At 35.1% G+C, this 18,860-nt stretch overlaps 1 protein-coding gene across 4 annotated transcripts in view; it reads left to right on the top strand.

The window, feature by feature from the left end:
* Positions 1–18,860, top strand: part of RANBP9 (RAN binding protein 9) — a 90,338-nt gene that overhangs the window by 58,996 nt on the left and 12,482 nt on the right. For 3 of the 4 annotated variants that reach the window (NM_005493.3, XM_047418032.1, XM_017010149.2), the window contains exons 5-11: positions 159–181; positions 8,111–8,295; positions 10,249–10,361; positions 11,533–11,641; positions 13,087–13,277; positions 14,885–15,032; positions 18,288–18,409. In NM_005493.3, coding sequence (NP_005484.2) covers positions 159–181; positions 8,111–8,295; positions 10,249–10,361; positions 11,533–11,641; positions 13,087–13,277; positions 14,885–15,032; positions 18,288–18,409 — 891 coding nt within the window. The remainder of the gene's footprint in view (positions 1–158; positions 182–8,110; positions 8,296–10,248; positions 10,362–11,532; positions 11,642–13,086; positions 13,278–14,884; positions 15,033–18,287; positions 18,410–18,860) is intronic. The other variant, XM_011514205.3, reaches the window with a different exon arrangement.

Here is an 18,860-nt window from a genome sequence, read left to right as displayed (position 1 = left end):
AGTATTATTGATTAAAAATTAGTCTTGTTATTTTTTATTTAGGCTTTAATGTTTTTTTCTTTTGCCATTTGTTTCCTCCTTTTAGTTAGAAATTCAGCTTGTCAGTATAGTCTGCTTTGAAAAACAGCTTCTAATGCCACTTTTTTTTTTCTTTTTAGGTATTGCTTTCACTGACCTACCGGTAAGACTTTTTTTAAAAGCAGTTTTCCATTTTTAATTACAGGAAGTATAAAGAAACTGATACTGGGCATATTTAGAAAGTTTAAAATACAGTCTTATTGATATTTATTAGGTTTATATGACATGCAAAGAAAGAGATCTTTTCTCTAACCACCTTGGGTGTAGACCCTCAGAAATTAAGCTCCAACTTGCACTGGATTCATTGTATAAAGGAAAATAAATCAGAATTGATTCTCAAGTGTCTTTTTAAATGTCACCATTCATTCATTTGAAATGTATTTCCTTGGACTTTTCAGCAGAAGGCTGTATAGCAGTTATAATCGTTTATTCATCCAAGCTATATAGAGGCCTACTATGTGGCAGGTAAAGTGCTTGGAATATATTATTCAACAGGTAGTAAAGGTCTCTGCCCTCTTGGACTTTATAGTATTCAAGCTGTGAAAGAGAATGAGCAGTACATGAAAAACAAGTAAAGTAGAACATATTTTAAGGGTGTTAAGTATACTTTGGAAAGAAAGGGAAAAAACAGAGAATGGGAATACCAACGGTAGGACACAAGGTTGTACAAGTTGCTCCCCTTTGCTCAAGGTGAGACTTGAGCTGAAGCTTTTGGAGGAGTGAGGGAGTCTGCCAAGTGGATATGTAGAGCAAGAGTTTTCAGGCAGAGGGAGGTTAGAGAAAAGGTGCTCAGGCAGGAGCACAGATGGCTTGTTTGAAGAAGAGTGTGAAGTGTGGTAGAGAGGAGTGAGGAGGGCAGAGCATATGTAGTAGCAGATGATCAGAGATAATAATGGGGTTGGGGGTAAGCTATTAATAGATCATCTAGACCTGGGCAAGCCATTGGGAGGGCTTGGAAATTTACTCTGAGTGAAATACAAAGACATTGTGGACTTTTATTTGTCATGATAGGACTTCAGTTTTTATGGGATCACTGTGATTGCTTAGTTGAAAAGTAGACTAGGCCGGGCATGGTGGCTCACACCTGTAATCCCAGCACTTAGGGAGGCCGAGGTGGGCGGATCACGAGGTCAGGAGATCGAGACCATCCTGGCCAACACGGTGAACCCCCGTCTCTACTAAAAAAAAAAATACAAAAAATTAGCTGGGCGTGGTGGTGGGCGCCTGTAGTCCCAGCTACTCAGGAGGCTGAGGCAGGAGAATGGCGTGAACCCAGGAGGCGGAGCTTGCAGTGAGCCAAGATTGTGCCACTGCACTCCAGCCTGGGTGACAGAGCAAGCCTCTGTCTCAAAAAAAAAACAAAAAAACAAAACAACAACAACAACAAAAAACTATATGGGAGTAAGGGTAGAAGCAAGGGGACCTGTGAGAAGACTATTGCAGAAATTCAAGCAAGGGGTTACAGTAACTCTCTTCGGTAGAGGTTTGATTCCACGTATCTTATTTACCAAACCCAAGGCACTGTCAGTTGTAATCTGCATCATCTGTGACACCAAGGGGGAAAAAAACTAACAAACTGTGACATAATGCCTCCCTTATCACTTAGCATTTTTATTTTATACTCACTGAATGATCTCTTAGGGTTATTTAAACTTAGATTTTAATATGTGTCTCTTTTTAGGTGTTGCACACCTAAAAAGGATGAGATAAGCAATATAAATTGATTAAGGTATTCCTAAAATTTCATGTTCAGAGTCTAACCTTTTAAATCAGTTTTTTAAAGACTGGATGCCATGATTTTCTTTGATCTCACTCTGTCACCCAGGTTGGAGTGCAGTGGTGTGATCTTGGCTCACTGCAACCTCTGCTTCCCAGGCTCAAGGGATCCTCCTACCTCAGACTCCCAAGTAGCTGGGACCACAGGTGCACGCCAGCATGCCCGACTGATTTTTTGTATTTTTGGTAGAGACGGGGTTTCGCCAGGTTGCCGAGGCTGATGCCCATGATTTTCTATGTGATACTGTCTTCTCCGTCATCAAGAACATTTTTTAAGATTACTCTTATTATGTCTCTGGGATTAATCTCCAAGCTGCTGATTACATCGTGCACGTTTGATACTGTCACTTTCATGATGTTAACCAATATCACGAAAATGAAAATTTCATCAGGAAAAGCAACTCAGTCCCAAGAGTTTTTCAGTGAGCTCATTCTTTAACAAATCGCTCCTGTGCAGGCATTGACAGCTGTGTCATGACAGCTGCCTGACCATAGTAAGGTGTCATCAATTATAAAATGCATTCCAGTTTTCAGAGATGTTTTGAAAGAGATGATGGAAGATTCAGAGGTAGAGAATAGATACCAAATCTATAGACTATTTATATCCCTTAATAAAATGCTAGGAAAAAACAGAAATCAAAATTATAATAGAAAATAATTTTAAGCCAAGGAATATTTGAACCCTACCGATCAAAAGTACTCTTCAAGAAGCATTATTTGGCTCTGGGTGTCTGAGGTGGGAGGACTGCTTGAGGCCAGGAGTTCAACACCACTTTGGGCAATATAATGAGATCTCACCTCTACTAAAAAAAAAAAAAACAAAAAAACACAACAACAACAAAAAACCCTGCCGCATTATTTAGTAAATAGTGATGGAATGAGTCTTTATTATTTATTTTTTTAAAATACATATTGTTAGGACAAAGTGTAAAGTAAGTTCTAGATGGATTAAAGAGTTAAATTTTTAAAAATCCCAAAATAATAGTAACAAAAATATGATTCTTTTAAAAATCCAACTGAAAACCAAGAGAATTGGCTAATGGATTGGATCTGAAAATTACATAAGGTCTGAGAATTGACAATTGTACTTAGCAGAGTAGAGGTCGTTGGTGACCTGGACAAGAAAGTTTCAGCTGTGGGATGGAGACATCCTGATTGGAATGGATTTTAGGAATAGGTGAGTTATAGGCAGTGGATAACTCTGGAGGACTTTGGCCATGGTGAGGAGTAAAGAAATGGAGTAGTAGCCAGTGGTGGAAGTGGGGGCAGTAGAAAAAAAAATTAAGTTAGGAGATTGAGTATGCTGATGAAAATGTCGGTGTCGCATAGAAAGAGGTAGACAGATGTGTAATTGAGGGGATGGGCTTTTGAGAAGAGCATTGTGGGGACAGGCAGAGTGTGTAGGTGCAGATTCTGGTTAGTGGGTTGATTTGGTCTTTAACAGTTAAGAGACTGGTGAGAATGCTGTAAGTTTCATTTGGAGTTGGTTAAAGAGTTTAGTGACTTTTTTTTTTTTTTTTTTTTCTGTTGTGGCACTAAGCAACTAGTCAGCGTGAGCTTTTGTTGTTGTTAGCTTTCGTTTTCTTGTTCATAGATAGCGGAGATCATTTGGAAAAAGCTTGGTTGCTTGTAGACATGTTGTTTATTTTCTCTCCCACTTTTGAATCACCAGTTATGTTTTTTCCCTCAGGTAGCCAATGATCATGTGCAACTTTGTTGTAACAATGGGTACAGTGGTGGTTTTAGGTTTCCTTTTAGTGTAGTATTTTTCATTTTTAATACTGTAAATCTTCTGGGACTTCCATAGGCTTCATATCAATTCTTCCTTTTAAAGGAAGCATCAAGGAAGTGTTTATATCTTCTATACCTGTGATCTCTCACAAGCTACCCATACCATTGAATCCTGAGAGAAAGTATATTTGCAGAAAAACCAGTTTACCTAGATTGTTCTGCACCTGTTATGGAATATAAGTGTTTATACAGCTTTGAAAACCTTAGATTTTTTTCAAAATAGTCTTTTTTCCTCAGCTTACCTCACCAGTTTGAGAAATGACATTAAGTATAACTAATTCAGTTTGGGATTTAATTATACAATTAAATTATGATAGTTGCACAGTTCTGTGAACATACTAAAAAACATTGAAGGCTGTTGCTTTTTAAAGGCTTTTGTTACAGTAGCTGTTCTCATTTTAAATGATGCTGTTTTCGAATTCTGGGCACTGACTTGAAATCTACTTTTTGTGGATACATTATTTGTATAGTCATTTTTATTAAAAGAGATCGAATGTAGACCAAAGCTGTGCTATTGAGAATATAAATTTATATTGTGTACATTTAGCTTTTAAGCAATTTCTAGATTGAAAGTATGTTTTGCAAGTTAATAGAAATGTTTTCCTATTCTTTTCATAAAGAACCTATTCTGTCTATATACTATTCTACATGGGCAGGAGTATTTTTCTAGAAGACATTATTACATATAAATCTACAGTGACAATGCACCTGCTGCATGGATGAACCTTGAAAACATGCTAAATAAAAGAAGCCAGCCATCTGGGTGCGGTGGCTCACGCCTGTAATTCTAGCACTTTGGGAGGCCAAGGCGGGCGGATCAAGAGATCAAGACTATCCTGGCCAACATGGTGAAACCCCGTCTCTACTAAAAATACAAAAATTAGCCAGGAGTGGTGGCATGTGGCTGTAGTCCCATACTCGGGAGGCTGAGGCAGGAGAATTGCTTGAACTTGGGAGTTAGAGGTTGCAGTGAACCGAGATTATGCCACTGCACTTCAGCCTGGGCGGCAGAGTGAGACTCCGTCTCAAAAAAAAAAAAAAAAAAAAAAAAAACCAGTCATATAAGATCACATATTTTGTTGTTCCATTTATGCAAAATGTCCAGAATGGGCAGATCCATAGAGTTAGAAAGTAGATTAGTGGTTGCCAGGGGGAACGGGGAAATGGGAAGTGGCTGCTGATGGGTACTGAGTTTCTCTCTGGGGTGATGGGATTGTTACACAATTAAATTACAGTAGTTGCACAGTTCTGTGAACATACTAAAAAACATTGAAGGCCGTTGTTTTTTAAAATCTGTAATATAGCAAGTTAAGGACTATGTCCTTAATCCTCTTCTCCCAATTCTCCAGTTTTAAGGTTGAGTAAATGGTATAACAATTATACTTACTTTTCAGTGAGCCAAAACTGACTTAATATTACTAAAAGTTTTTTTAATCAATATCAGATTACAGAAGTAATGTATAGTATTAAATACTTAAATGAGAAATGTTTATATATACAGAAATGTACAAAAGAGAAGTTCTTCATAATCCCAGTCTCTTTGGCTATAATGTTTGTTTTAACTTGAATATATATCCTTTTAGACTTCTTTCTAAACACATATAAGCCAGTATGTTCATTTTTTGAATGTTTATGTGAAAGATAGGGTCATACCATATACAATATGTTATACCTTGCTTTAGTGTGTATAGGACATCTTTCTGTGTCCATATATACATTTTTCATTCTGTTCTTTTTGCCTGCTTTATGTTATCTTATTAACTTACTACCACAATTGATCAATTATAAAATGTACATTTTTTTCATATTTTAGTATTTCTGAAATGAGAATGCACTGTAGAATCAATGACTGGTCAGAGTTTAATTTGCATTATGTTTTCCTAGACACAAAATAGTGATGTTTGTTACTATTAGATTTTGAGACTTGATGAATATGGTATAATATCACATATCTGTGAATATTTTAAAATTTTGTTTGTGTTACAAATAATGCTACAAGACATATCTTTGCACATACTTATTTTTGTAGGAATACACTCTTCCAAGTGAAATTACTTGGTCAATTTTAATAGATTTTTCCAGATTTCTTTGTTAAAAGATTATGTCAGTTTACATTTCTGTGTACAGTAGATGAAAGGGTTATTTCCCCAACCCTTATCAGCATTGGGTATTCTCAGCCTTTCAAGTCTTAATCTGATGTGCAAAAGTTTTTAAATCTTGAACTTTTAATTGATTTTATTTTTAAGTGCGCATTAAAAATGTTCATCTAAAAAGTTGAGTGTGATTAAGCTTCTCTTTATGTGTTGTCATTTTTATTTCTTCTACAAATTGCCTACATATTCATTGCCTTTTTTAAGAATTTGAACTGGTAGTCTTTGTCCTCCTGAATTTTTTCTGTATTTGTAAAACACATTTTGCCATATGTGTGGCAGATTTTTTTTTCTAGAGAGTCATTTGTCTTTGCCATTTGTGGCATGTTTTGTCATAGGGAAGTTTTAAATTTTTATGAAATAGTTTTATCAGAGAATTCATGAATGTTGATTGTCTTTGATAGTGTTGATAGAATTATTTTTTCTGAATTTGTAAGAAAATTTAGATGAGCAGTCATTTTAAAAATGTCTTTATTTAGACAATACTGAATATCATCATTATAAACTGCTTAATGAACAGAATTGTCTTTCACTCAATTGTGTTTGGCTTATATGCTTTTGTGTTAAAGTATCTCATAACTCTGTAGTGTTTTTTCTGTTTTTTTGTTTTGTTTTGTTTCTGTTTTTGTGTTTTTAAGACAGAGTTTCACTCTTGTTGCCCAGGCTGGAATGCAGTGGCACAATCTCGGCTCACCAGAACCTCCCCATCCCCGGTTCAAGCGATTATCCTTCCTCAGCCTCCCGAGTAGCTGGGATTACAGGCATGCGCCACCACACCCAGCTAATTTTGTATTTTTAGTAGAGGCGGGGTTTCACCATGTTGGTCAGGCTGGTCTTGTACTCCTGACCTGAGGTGATCTACCTGCCCCAGCCTCCCAAAGTGCTGGGATTACAGGCGTGAGCCACCATGCCTGGCCTGTTTCTATAAAGTCTTTAGGTCTCAGTTTTCTCATTGGTGAAATGGGAAGGCTGTACTATCTCACCTGTTTTTGGCTTAAAAGTTTATAAACTTGTTAGCTCTGTTGATTATTAAGAATCAATACATTTGCATACTTTGCTTTAACCATTTATTTCCATAATCCAGTAGTACTTTATATTTTTGATATTTTGATGTAATATTTTGTTTCTGATTTGTTCTGCTTGATTGAACGGTTGTTTTTAAACACACCCTCTTTGCATTTTACTGTGAAATCTATTTAACATATTCACACAGAAATTATCCGCTCTTGATCTTTACCTTGTTTTGTACTGAAAAATACTTGTTATAACTATTAAAGATATAAGACATAAATACAGAAAATGAAAATATGGTAGGATTTGGAGTTGCAAGAGGAAAAATCAGTTTTGGATGTGGTATCAGACAAACTTGTGTTCCAATTCCATCTCTGCCATTTGTTAGCAGAACGACCATGAGCAAGTTATTTAACCTTGAATCCTCATTTTCTCTGTCTTTGAAGTAGAAATAATAATAGTGGCCTCACAGAATTATGATTAAACCCTGGCATTTAGTAGCCACTCAGAAACTCATTCTGCCTTTAGATGTAACAACCAATTAGTGACATAGCCAAAAGAATGACCCCTGTATTTTTTGTTTACTTGAAGTTATCACCTTTTCATCTTGATTAACCTTGAAACCATGGAGTGTACCTGAATGCATTTCTGAGTTTGGGTATATTCAGATTCATCCTTTTCCTCCCTTGAAATACATATATTTGAGGTTTTGTGTTTTTTTTTTAATATAGAGAATCTCCACTCTTCCTGGCACTGTGTTTTGCTTATAGTTATGGTCTTATCCCCTTCCCTTTGTAAAGTTAGGCATCCCAAATATACAGAATGAAAACAGTAAATTTAAGCTATTAAATGCCAGACTAGCTGAGATCATACTTTTATGATAACTAGCTTTAACATGCAGTTTATAGAAATGTATCATATATAAAATGTGGGATAAACCTGAGTTATGTGTTTATAGTTGAATTTCTGTAACTACTATATGACATAATCTTAGAACAAGAATTACATGCACATATATTAGTAGCATAATACCACGTGGTATAATACAACGTAGTCCCTGAATAAATAAAACAGAGATCTTGGGTCTCTTTGTTTTTTCTTGATGATTACATTGCAGGAAGTGATATTTTTTCATCTAACATATAATGTATTTTAGATCATTTGTTTTAGCCTTCTAATATTTTGATTGGGATTTTAAAATATGAAGTAAATTTATAGTTCTATTCTTTTAAATGTAACATTAAAAGAATTATTAAATCTAACATAAAATGGATAGATGTTTAATGAAATATGCTATCTTACAGCCAAATTTGTATCCTACTGTGGGGCTTCAAACACCAGGAGAAGTGGTCGATGCCAATTTTGGGCAACATCCTTTCGTGTTTGATATAGAAGACTATATGCGGGAGTGGAGAACCAAAATCCAGGCACAGATAGATCGATTTCCTATCGGAGATCGAGAAGGAGAATGGCAGACCATGATACAAAAGTAAGAGTGAAGAAATTTCAATTGATGCTATTCAGAATCTGTTTTTTATAAGACATTTATTCTGTTGGTATCCACAGAAGCTTTTTAATCCACTAATTTATATACTGACATATCTATTATATTATTGATTTTAATCTCTCAACGAAAAGTAATTTACTCCACTATTTAAACAAATTAAAAACAATTGTTTGACACACGTACAGAATTGTATTTCAGTCTGAATTAATTTGATGAAGGAAATAAAATGATGTTAGGTCACCTAGGCTAGGTTAATTCATTTGCTATTCTTAGTAATAGGATTTAATGATTTCTGTAGGTTATACAATTTAACTTTTAATAATGTTAATGGAAAAGATAAAGTTGAGAGATAATCTAGATCTTATAATCAGGATCTGTGGTTTTTGGTCATGAACTTGGCTATGTCCAAGCTCTTAATATCTGAACTATCAGCAGTAGTTAAGTATGGACTTAAAATTTAAATAAATACCATTAAATTTAAAAAGTCCTCTTCACTATTATAATCCAGGTCAAGAAAATAGCAGACTTTCAGATACAGTTGGTCCAACACATTTCATCTTTAATGTCCTTATAATTGCTTTGAATATTCTTAACTTTAAAATTGTAATAAAATGTTGGGGGTATTTTTTAGAAAAGGAAGTGATTGGGAGACATGATGATGACTCTGAAATCACACTTCGTCCCTGGAGCTATTATCATCTGTATTACAGAGATTGGACACTAGTTTTTTTGTCCAGCCCAGTTGAGAATAGACAACCCTGATGCAGAATCCTATAGTCACCACGAAGTGAAGCTAGAATGGGTTGTTCTGGGGCCACACTGTTTTAATGCTCTGAAAATGGTTACCACTGAGTATCATGGCAAGATAGTAGAAAACATTTATCTTAACCTTATAACCAGGATCCTTCCACCCACTTCTTCACTGACTTGATGTTCACCATGAACTCTTGAGAAGTCCATTCTAAAAGGTCCCCTCCCCCTTAAATTAATTTGAACAATTGGGTAAAATAAGATGCAGATCTGTTTCTTAGACATTTTCCTCCCTTTTCTCCCTCCGCTCTTTGCCTCAGTCTCCTCCTGTGGTGAACCACTGCTTCCCACGATTTTCTAACTGGCCCTTAGTAGTGTCAGGTGGAGGCAAGTTTAAAAATTGACTGTTTGGAGATAACAGATATTTGGGTTAATATTGTTGCATCACCAGTTTTTCTAACCACATCTTGTGGGTAGATGTAAGTATATGTTTTGACTACCTGGTACGTTTTTAAAAGATTATTGTCTTGGAAATGTGTCACTTACATGTAAACCATATTTGATAAATCTCTTGGGTAAAACCATAGTAATTGATTTAGATTAGAAGGCTGATTCCTCCTTTAATTAGTAGTACACTTATAGACATGTTCTGGAAGATTGTCTCTCTGGATTCACCTTAGTATTCTGTACATACTTTGTGATCCCACTTCATTTAACCGGTGTGTAAAGAAGATGGTTGAACTCTGGAACATTAAGAGTTAATCTTTTATTTTAAAGTTGGTTATTTTACAGAATGCCAGCAATACTGGAATAAGTCATATGATAAAGTCAAAATAGAAATTATGGTTAGTAGGGCTGAATAATAAGATAGGAAGGGACCTGGGGGTAATGAGAGTCCAAGAATCAAAGAAAAGGTCATTTAATGTCCTTGATTCTCAAGTAATATTTATTTTAGGGAGAGTAGTCTCAACATAGCATTTGCAGTTATCTTTTCGAAAATAGTACATGAATAGAACAAAATGATGTTTTTCAAAAGCTTACTTTAAAGGTGAGGTTCTTAACGCCTTGTTTCAAGGAAATAGGTTCGTTTTTATAACACCAGAATAGATTTTGTTTATATAAATTGTAGTATGAAGCATGTATTCTCTTCACTAAAAGATGTATGTTTCTTCTTTTTATTTTAAGAATGGTTTCATCTTATTTAGTCCACCATGGGTACTGTGCCACAGCAGAGGCCTTTGCCAGATCTACAGACCAGACCGTTCTAGAAGAATTAGCTTCCATTAAGAATAGACAAAGTAAGGACACTGTGGTGCATGGCTAACATTTGTTTTCAGATTATAGATTTGGTTACTTTAATTTTTAGAAATTTTGTTTTTTTAATTAAAAAAATTTCAAATATATTAATTTAAAATGGATGCCTCTGAATTTTATTTTCACTGACATTTTTGAAGATCAGTTTAAAAATTCACATAGGACTATGTCAGAATTCTAATTCTAGAGAGATTTTACAGAAGTTTTTTGAAGGAATGTCTTTACCATTTTTTTCTTAAATGTTTTCTTAAGCTTTCAGGAAATAAACATTTAATAAAAAGATTTAAAAATAATAATAAAGTAGTCCTGATTAGTTGGAGGAGATAGTATGTGAAAGAAATGTAAATATCTTTGAATTTAAATGGCTAATACAGTATTGATCCATAAGTATTTATTATTTAGATCCTAGTGCTGGCCTCTGTGGCCAGAGATAAAACAGGTCCTGTATAACAATGGCAAGTCAGCATAACTGGTCCATAGTTAGCCATCCTAAAATTGGTGCTGTTTGTCCATCAGGGTGGGTATGACTTGACAAGAGTATAGAGATGAAAACAAAATAGATGGGTGAAATTAATGGGTGAAAACAACTATTTCATAGGTCAAATTGCTGTAATAGCACTGATTACATTGGGTTGTAGTTAATTGTGTGCTGTCCTTTTCTACTATTTTAATAAGCTCTGTTGAACAGAGATCACTTACTCATTTTGTATCCTTATCATCTAATTTAACATATAACAGATCAAGTGAATGCTCAACGAGTCTCTGTTAAATTGGAATCTTAGTCAAAAGCTAGCATTTTTCAGTCCTTTGTTCAGAAGATTATGTTTGATAAGGCATTTTAGTATCCCTTTAAAACAGTCTTTTTAATCTCAGTGTTTGAAACTTCAATATTGCATAATAGGTATTTTAACTATATTACTCGTATGTTCGTGATTTTAAAAAAAAAATTTGTGACCGTACTTGTTTTTCTAATTTTCTAGTATGTCTGAAATGTTTCCTGGATTGCCTAATGGAAACTATGATGTTAGAGAAAGAAATTGAAATTAATCATAATTTATTTAAAGATTTCTTACTAACTTTCTTTTCTGAGGTCACTAAGTTTATGTTTTATCTACTTTTGTAAAAGTTAATCGTTTGCTTTCTTTTACTGAATAGGAATTCAGAAATTGGTATTAGCAGGAAGAATGGGAGAAGCCATTGAAACAACACAACAGTTATACCCAAGTTTACTTGAAAGAAATCCTAATCTCCTTTTCACATTAAAGTGAGTTTGCATAATAAAATGCTATATTTGTTATATATTATAAATATTTGTCAAGTTATGTAATAAAAGACATTTTCGTGCTTTTGTAATTTTAGTTTTTTTCGTTTTTCAAGTATATACAATTTTGTAATGTCATTTAAGCAACATGTTATGAAAAATACTTTTGTGTTAAGGACCATAAGCAGAAGGTGTCTTTTGCTATGTATTTGCTTTTATTATTCTATTTATGTGTTTAAAAATGTGAAAATCTTATTTAGAAGATGGGTGTCTATTTTTCCTTCTCAGAAGTACCTTACATTTAATCTCTCTGGCATTTTAAAAAATTGTGGTAAAATATACATAAAATTTACCATTTTTTACATTCACATCATTGTGCAACCATCACCACCATCCGACTCCAGAACTTCTCCATCTTCCCAAACTGAAACTCTCTATTAAACACTAACCATCCATTCATCCCCCTAGCCCCTGGAAACCACCATTCTACATTTTGCCTCTATGAATTTGACTACCCATATAAGTAGAATCAGAGTATTTATTCTTCATTACTGGCTTATTTTAGTGTAATAGCCTTAAGGTTCATCTTTATTGTAGTATGTATCAGAATTTTCTTCCTTTTAAAGGCTGAATTTTACTCCATTGTTTGGATAATACTGCATTTTGTTTATCCATTCATCCACTGATGGACACTTAAAGTTTGCTTCTACCTCTTGGCTGTTATGAATAATTCTGCTGTGAACATAGGTGTACAAATATCTGAGTCCCTGCATTAGATTTTTTTGGTTATATACCCAGAAGTGAACTTTCTGGATCATATGGTAATTCTATGTTTAACTATTTTTTTTTAATAATAGCCATCCTGATTTGACAATTTTAATTGGTTTTATGAATCTTTGTTACTTAAAAAATGAGATGTTACTGAGCTTCAGATTTCAACTTGTTAAGCAACAGATATCCTTTGTAAGTCAAATGACAGAATTGTTTTGCTTTAGAATAAGAATTTTAAATGAGGCCCATTTTGGTTAAGAGGTTGGGAATGGGACGGGTGGGGAGAAAGGCTACGCTTTATATGTATCTCATATACATAAAATCATGTCCTTAGGCACAATTTGATTTGCTACCAAGCGCAAATGTTATTTTGATTAAATTACTTGTAGCCAAAAAAATGGGGTTCATATCTTCTTATAGGTAAATTTCCATTTGGTAAATCCTGATTAAAGGGGGTAATATTATTATAGTGTCTATTACATTGTACTCTCATTTTTCTGGAAATTCTAAAATTCTAAGCATTAAAGCATAGGACACCATATTTAATATTTTTAGCTTACTAAAGACCAATCCTACTGATAAATCAAAGTTTTAAAAATATTTTTAGAAATCTGTTGCTATTAAATAAAAGGCCATTTGAAGATTGTGTCTAAGTAAATTTTTCTTTTCTCCTTTAGAGTGCGTCAGTTTATAGAAATGGTGAATGGTACAGATAGTGAAGTACGATGTTTGGGAGGCCGAAGTCCAAAGTCTCAAGACAGTTATCCTGTTAGTCCTCGACCTTTTAGTAGTCCAAGTATGAGCCCCAGCCATGGAATGAATATCCACAATTTAGCATCAGGCAAAGGAAGCACCGCACATTTTTCAGGTGAGATTTAACTTATGACATTATTTTTAGATTTTTCCTCTTTATAATCTTAAACCTTTTTCCTTTTGAAAATCTGTATATTTCCAGCTGGGCACGGTGGCTCACGCTTGTAATCCCAGCACTTTGGGAGGCCAGGGTGGGCGGATCACGAGGTCAGGAGTTCGAGACCAGCCTGGCCAACATGGTGATAACCCCATCTCTACTAAAAATACAAAAATCAGCTGGGCATGGTGGCAGGTGCCTGTAGTCCCAGCTACTCGGGAGGCTGAGGCAGGAGAATTGCTTGAATCCTGGAGGCAGAGGTTGCAGTGAGCTGAGATCACGTCACTGCACTCCAGCCTGGGTGACAGAGGGACACTCCATTTGTCTCAGAAAATCTGTATATTTCCTTTGTAGCTGTTTTCAAATGTGTATACTTAAGATTTTTCTGGGTGAAAAATTGTAGGTTCAGATTGACATGTTCTCAGTACCAGGAAGTCACTTGAAGAACAGCTGTCTGAGAATAGGTTATTAGCAGACCTTCCTAAATGAAAGTCAGCATTCACAATGAGTAGTCACCAGAATTAAATTATTGATTTTTAATAGTGAAAAGGTAATTGTGTGTTTTAATAAAATATAAATTTAAAGGTGATGTGGCTGTGATACCTTATGCCACTGGTTACCACATCTAGCTGGGCTGCCGCTGCCTCCCTCCTCTCCCCCCACCCCCAACCTTTCCCAACCAAGCCTCTTGCAAAAGTCAGCTCTGCCTAGTTCGTTTTCTCCCATCCGTTTGTTGGCTCACCAGTCTTACTCTCTGTGACTTTGGGCTTTCTCTTAATTAAAATTCTCTCCTTTCTTGGCTTTTGTGACATCACTTCTACAGGTTTTTTTGGTTTTGTTTTTGTTTCTTTTTAAAGAGTTGGAGTCTCGCAATGTTTCTGATGCTGGTCTCAAACTCCTGGCCTCAAGCACTGCTCCTGCCTCAGCCTCCCAAAGTGCTGGGCTTACAGGTGTGAGCTACCGTGCCCAGCCACAGATTTATTTCTGATGCTTCTCAGTCTTCTGTTTGCCCATCTCTTTAATTCTGCATTTCCCAAGATGTTATCTTTGTACATTTAACATTCTTAAACAAGTCAGATAGTGTCTCCTTTCCTTTCATGAAGTAACACCATTGCTTTTTCTTATTTCAATTTATTCTCTTTTCTGCATTACTTCCTCTCAGTTTATTTACATCACCACTCTGTACAACAAGTGTGATTCCCATGTCTGTTCTTAGCCACTACTCCTCTTGAATATCATACAGTCACTTCAGGCTTGGATAAATTCTGAGCCTCAGTGTATTCATATGTAAAATGGGGATGATCATAATATTGCCATTTTAGGGGGATTTTGAGGATTAAATGAGATGTGTAATTAAGCCTTCAATAAATGTTAGATGAGGTAATAATTAAGATCTCACAATTAAGTATTCTTAGTATCCTTTCAAAGAAGTTACCTGTTTACATCATCCATTGACTCTCCTACGTTCTAGAAGTCTTAGTACAAAATCAACATGGAGACTTGTTTACAACCGTATTAATAAATTAGTGTTTGTTTCTGTTTCTACGTGGTATCTTTTTCTTCAGGTTTTGAAAGTTGTAGTAATGGTGTAATATCAAATAAAGCACATCAATCATATTGCCATAGTAATAAACACCAGTCATCCAACTTGAATGTACCAGAACTAAACAGTATAAATATGTCAAGATCACAGCAAGTTAATAACTTCACCAGGTAAGTAATTTCACTGACTTTTGCACTAATATAAGCAACCTAGTTATAGGTGTAATCGTTGTAATAATTTTGAAAGAACTTGAATTATGTGACCCACAGAGGGGCTCTGGGAGTTCTTAAGCCCCCAGAGAATAAAAGCGTAGGGAGTCAGTTCCCCAAAGCTTTTTAGTCTCCTATTATGCACATGAGCTCTTTCCTTAGTTTCTTCCTCTTCTCTACTACCTTCTTCCCTCTAGTAAAGTTATAAGGACAAATTCAGGGCTTCATGCATTGTCTTCCTGCCAGCCACAGAGCTATACAAATGATCACATAAATGCCATTTGTTATGTTTTCACAGTGGTTAAGACACAGTAGCATATTTAACCTTGAACGGTGACATAAGATAAATTTACAACTGATTTTTTCTCTGTGTGTGAGTTTTTTTTGGTGTAAATGTGTAGAATGTTTTCCAAGTTCAAAACTAACTTTACAAATAATCTTTTTTGAAAGCCTGCCTTTAAGTAGCTTGCATATAGCAGATGGTTAAGTCATTTAGTAAACATTGGTGTGAGGATGGTTTTGAGGATTTGTTGGGCACCAAACATTCTGCTAGGTAGGGTGTCTCACTTTGAAGAGGTTTGAAAGATGATATCTCAGTCAGTGTACTATGACCCTTGATATACTCAGGTTTAATATTTATGAAACCTAAAAGTTCATGAAGTGACATTATTTGAATTAAATACTACTGTGCAGTAGCAAATTATTGTGAATTCACCCTGCCCAAATCATCCAGGACTGGGTCAATTTAATATTGGTTTGGTCTATAACAAACCAGTTGGTTACATTGCATTTTCAGGAAATGGTCATCAGTGCCACATTTTCTTATTAAAGGAGAGAGAGCCTAACTTTTAGCATGGAATCTTAATGGAAATATGATTTTGCAGAAAGGATTGTATGTAAAAAAAAATCTGTATTTGAAAATTGGGAGATTAATCTCAATTTCTGGGTTGTCTGTCACACGTGACAAAAATTTACTGAAGTAATAGTGTGTGTGATTGATATAAGTTGTAATGGAGAACCACAAAAGTGTATGAGAAGAGCAGAAAAATCGTCTTTCACAGCAGAGGTGATATATTGGAAAATATAAAATCAAAATATTATAGTTTAAAAATAGATGGAAATGTAAAAAGTTAAGTACTTCATCATGCTTTATACTAAATGCATTGGTACTTTATCATTGATCAAGGCTCTTGCCAATGTTTGAGGGTAAGATTGCAGTCAGTTTGTGAGTTTTTCTCTTGAATACTATCCCTACAGCAGGAAGTTGCTAAACAGATCTATTATTACCTGAGTTCAGGGAAGCAAGCTTAACGGAAGGGTCTGATGACACAACATCCTCCTTTGTCTGCAGTATAAAAGGGAAAGAAAGTCAACTTTGAACTGCCTTAAGCTATAAGTTATTTTGTAGTTGGTAATGGCTTTCCTAACTGTGAAGTAGGCAAAGATGGTATTAACTATTTAAACCATTTTACAGATGTAGAGCGGGATATCAGAAAAGTAAATGACTTTTTTTTCTTAAGGTCAATTATTAGTAGCTAGTAAGTTGCAGAGCTGAGGCTGCGTTTCAGGATTTGACTTGCAAACTTGTGCTTTTTCCCTGATACCGCCCACCATCTGAAATGCTCTTCTTCCTACCCTCCCTCACCTCCAGTATAACTTCTGTCCAGGCTGAGAAAATTCAAGTTCAGATGTCAGTTCTTCCAGGATGTTTTCCTTGATTTACATCCCATCAAATATGTCATGTTTTGTGATTAACTTCCATCATAGTACTGATCATAATTACTCTGTAATATAATAACTTAATTAGCTTTTTATAGGTTGTTTGCTACAGGAAGGCAGAGGCTGTTTCATAATATCCTTAGCACCTAACAGGGATCATACCTCAGAGGCTCTTAAATGTGTGTTAAATGAACGAGTTCCTTCCAAATACTAAACTGAGTTATCAAAAAAAAAAAAAAAGTTTAGTATTTTTTAAAAAGCCACTGAAAGCTGTGATGGTAAGGATTTTCTTATTCTTAAAGTTTGGTTTTTCTTACCAATTTTCGAAGTTTGTTAAGATTATAAACAAGCTTTCCTGGTTGAGTAAGTCTGCTCTGGAGTCGTAGGGCCATATCCCCCTTTTCCCTAGATCTCTTGTTTTTTTTTTTTTTACCTTAACAATTTTACTAACAGGAGTGTATGCATGCACACACACACCCCCAAGGTGTTAGAATTTGTTACCTCTGGTGGTATTACGCATAGTGGTTTTTGCTCATCTGTGTTTTTTTTTCTACAATTGAATATATATTGCTTTTGTAATGAGAAATGTCATTTTTATCTAAGCATTACCTAAAATTTCATCGAGTGTTTACTTCTAGATTGTATAATTATTACCTAGGCTTCCATAGGATAAATCCTAAAGATTAGATATTTATTGTTGCTTATAAGAGTGCGGATGGTTCTGAAGGACATACATTGACAGCTTAAATATGTGCAAATATAGTTATTGGCAGATAGATATTCATTGAGTGGAATGAGTGAAAACTGGAAACTATCCAGGACATCAGTTTAAAAGTTAAGATTCAGCAATACTTTAGCCAATAAGATAGCCTGTGAGTTCACTCTCTGTCGTGTGGTGAAAAGGGATGAGAGAATGAAGCTCAATCATTTTTTAAGTTATCAGTTACCCTTGAAAGAATGTATATTTTTAAGTAGTGAGGACAAATGCCAGAATGCTATTTAAAAACAGCCTAGGAGTGGATTGAGTATGAGGTCCGGAACGAGGTGAAGCGGGTTCCAGGAGTGAGATGTATTTGTTTTGAGAGTGAGGTTTTCCCCTTACATACTAGAAATCAGTGCTGGGGGTAGGGGGAGAGGGCTGGCTGGGGAGTTGGTGGGGCAGCAGTTGATTAACGAAGACGTACAGATCTGAATTTGAAAAATAATAGGATTGTGTGGAAGTATGATTTCTCCATATTGATGTAAAGTCATAAAACCACTACATTTTAGCATATGTACTTTTTTTCCTCCCTTACCTCCGGGGGTACAAATTTGTTAAAAGTCAGCGACATGTTTGGCTTTGAATACGTTCAAGATTTAACTAAATACCTTTTTTGCAGATTTCTGTTGCCTTATGAAATTAGTTTATTCGTAGGCTATGTAGTTCAGTAGTGATTTATTTTAAACTAAGCTGCAAGTATGATATTTCTAAAATTAGGTTTGTTTTTTCGTTTTCAGTAATGATGTAGACATGGAAACAGATCACTACTCCAATGGAGTTGGAGAAACTTCATCCAATGGTTTCCTAAATGGTAGCTCTAAACATGACCACGAAATGGAAGATTGTGACACCGAAATGGGTCTGCAGTGATATTTCTTACATTTTTAATAAAAAATGATGGCTACAAGGTTATGTTTTTACTTGTACTGATTCACAGCTGATGAGCATAAACCAGATTTAAAGATGTATGTGCTGTAGGACTTGACAGTAATGCATAGCACTTAAACTCTTGTTTGAGTGGGCTGCTAGAGAAAGTAGAGTTACCTTTCAGCTACAGGCAGTGTTTCTTGCTGAACTGCTTAGGCTCAGGTTTAGCGCTGTCACTAATGCAGCAGTACTGACTTACTGGTGTTGAGCCTCTAGGCTATTTTAGGTTGGAGATGATAGAACTTCTTATATTTATGTCAGTATAGTCAGTAAGGCCAAATGGTTAGATGATTTTACAAATTTCTAATCAGTATTTCTTAAATGAGTTTAACGTAAACGTGTGTGACTTTGCATAGTACTATCCCTGGTATATAGTAGGTGCT

This window comes from Homo sapiens, chromosome 6 (assembly GCF_000001405.40).
Source record: "Homo sapiens chromosome 6, GRCh38.p14 Primary Assembly".
In the NCBI taxonomy this organism is placed as follows: domain Eukaryota; kingdom Metazoa; phylum Chordata; class Mammalia; order Primates; family Hominidae; genus Homo; species Homo sapiens.
The sequence above is the reverse complement of the archived record's forward strand: the minus strand, read 5'-3'. Positions and strand labels throughout refer to the sequence as shown.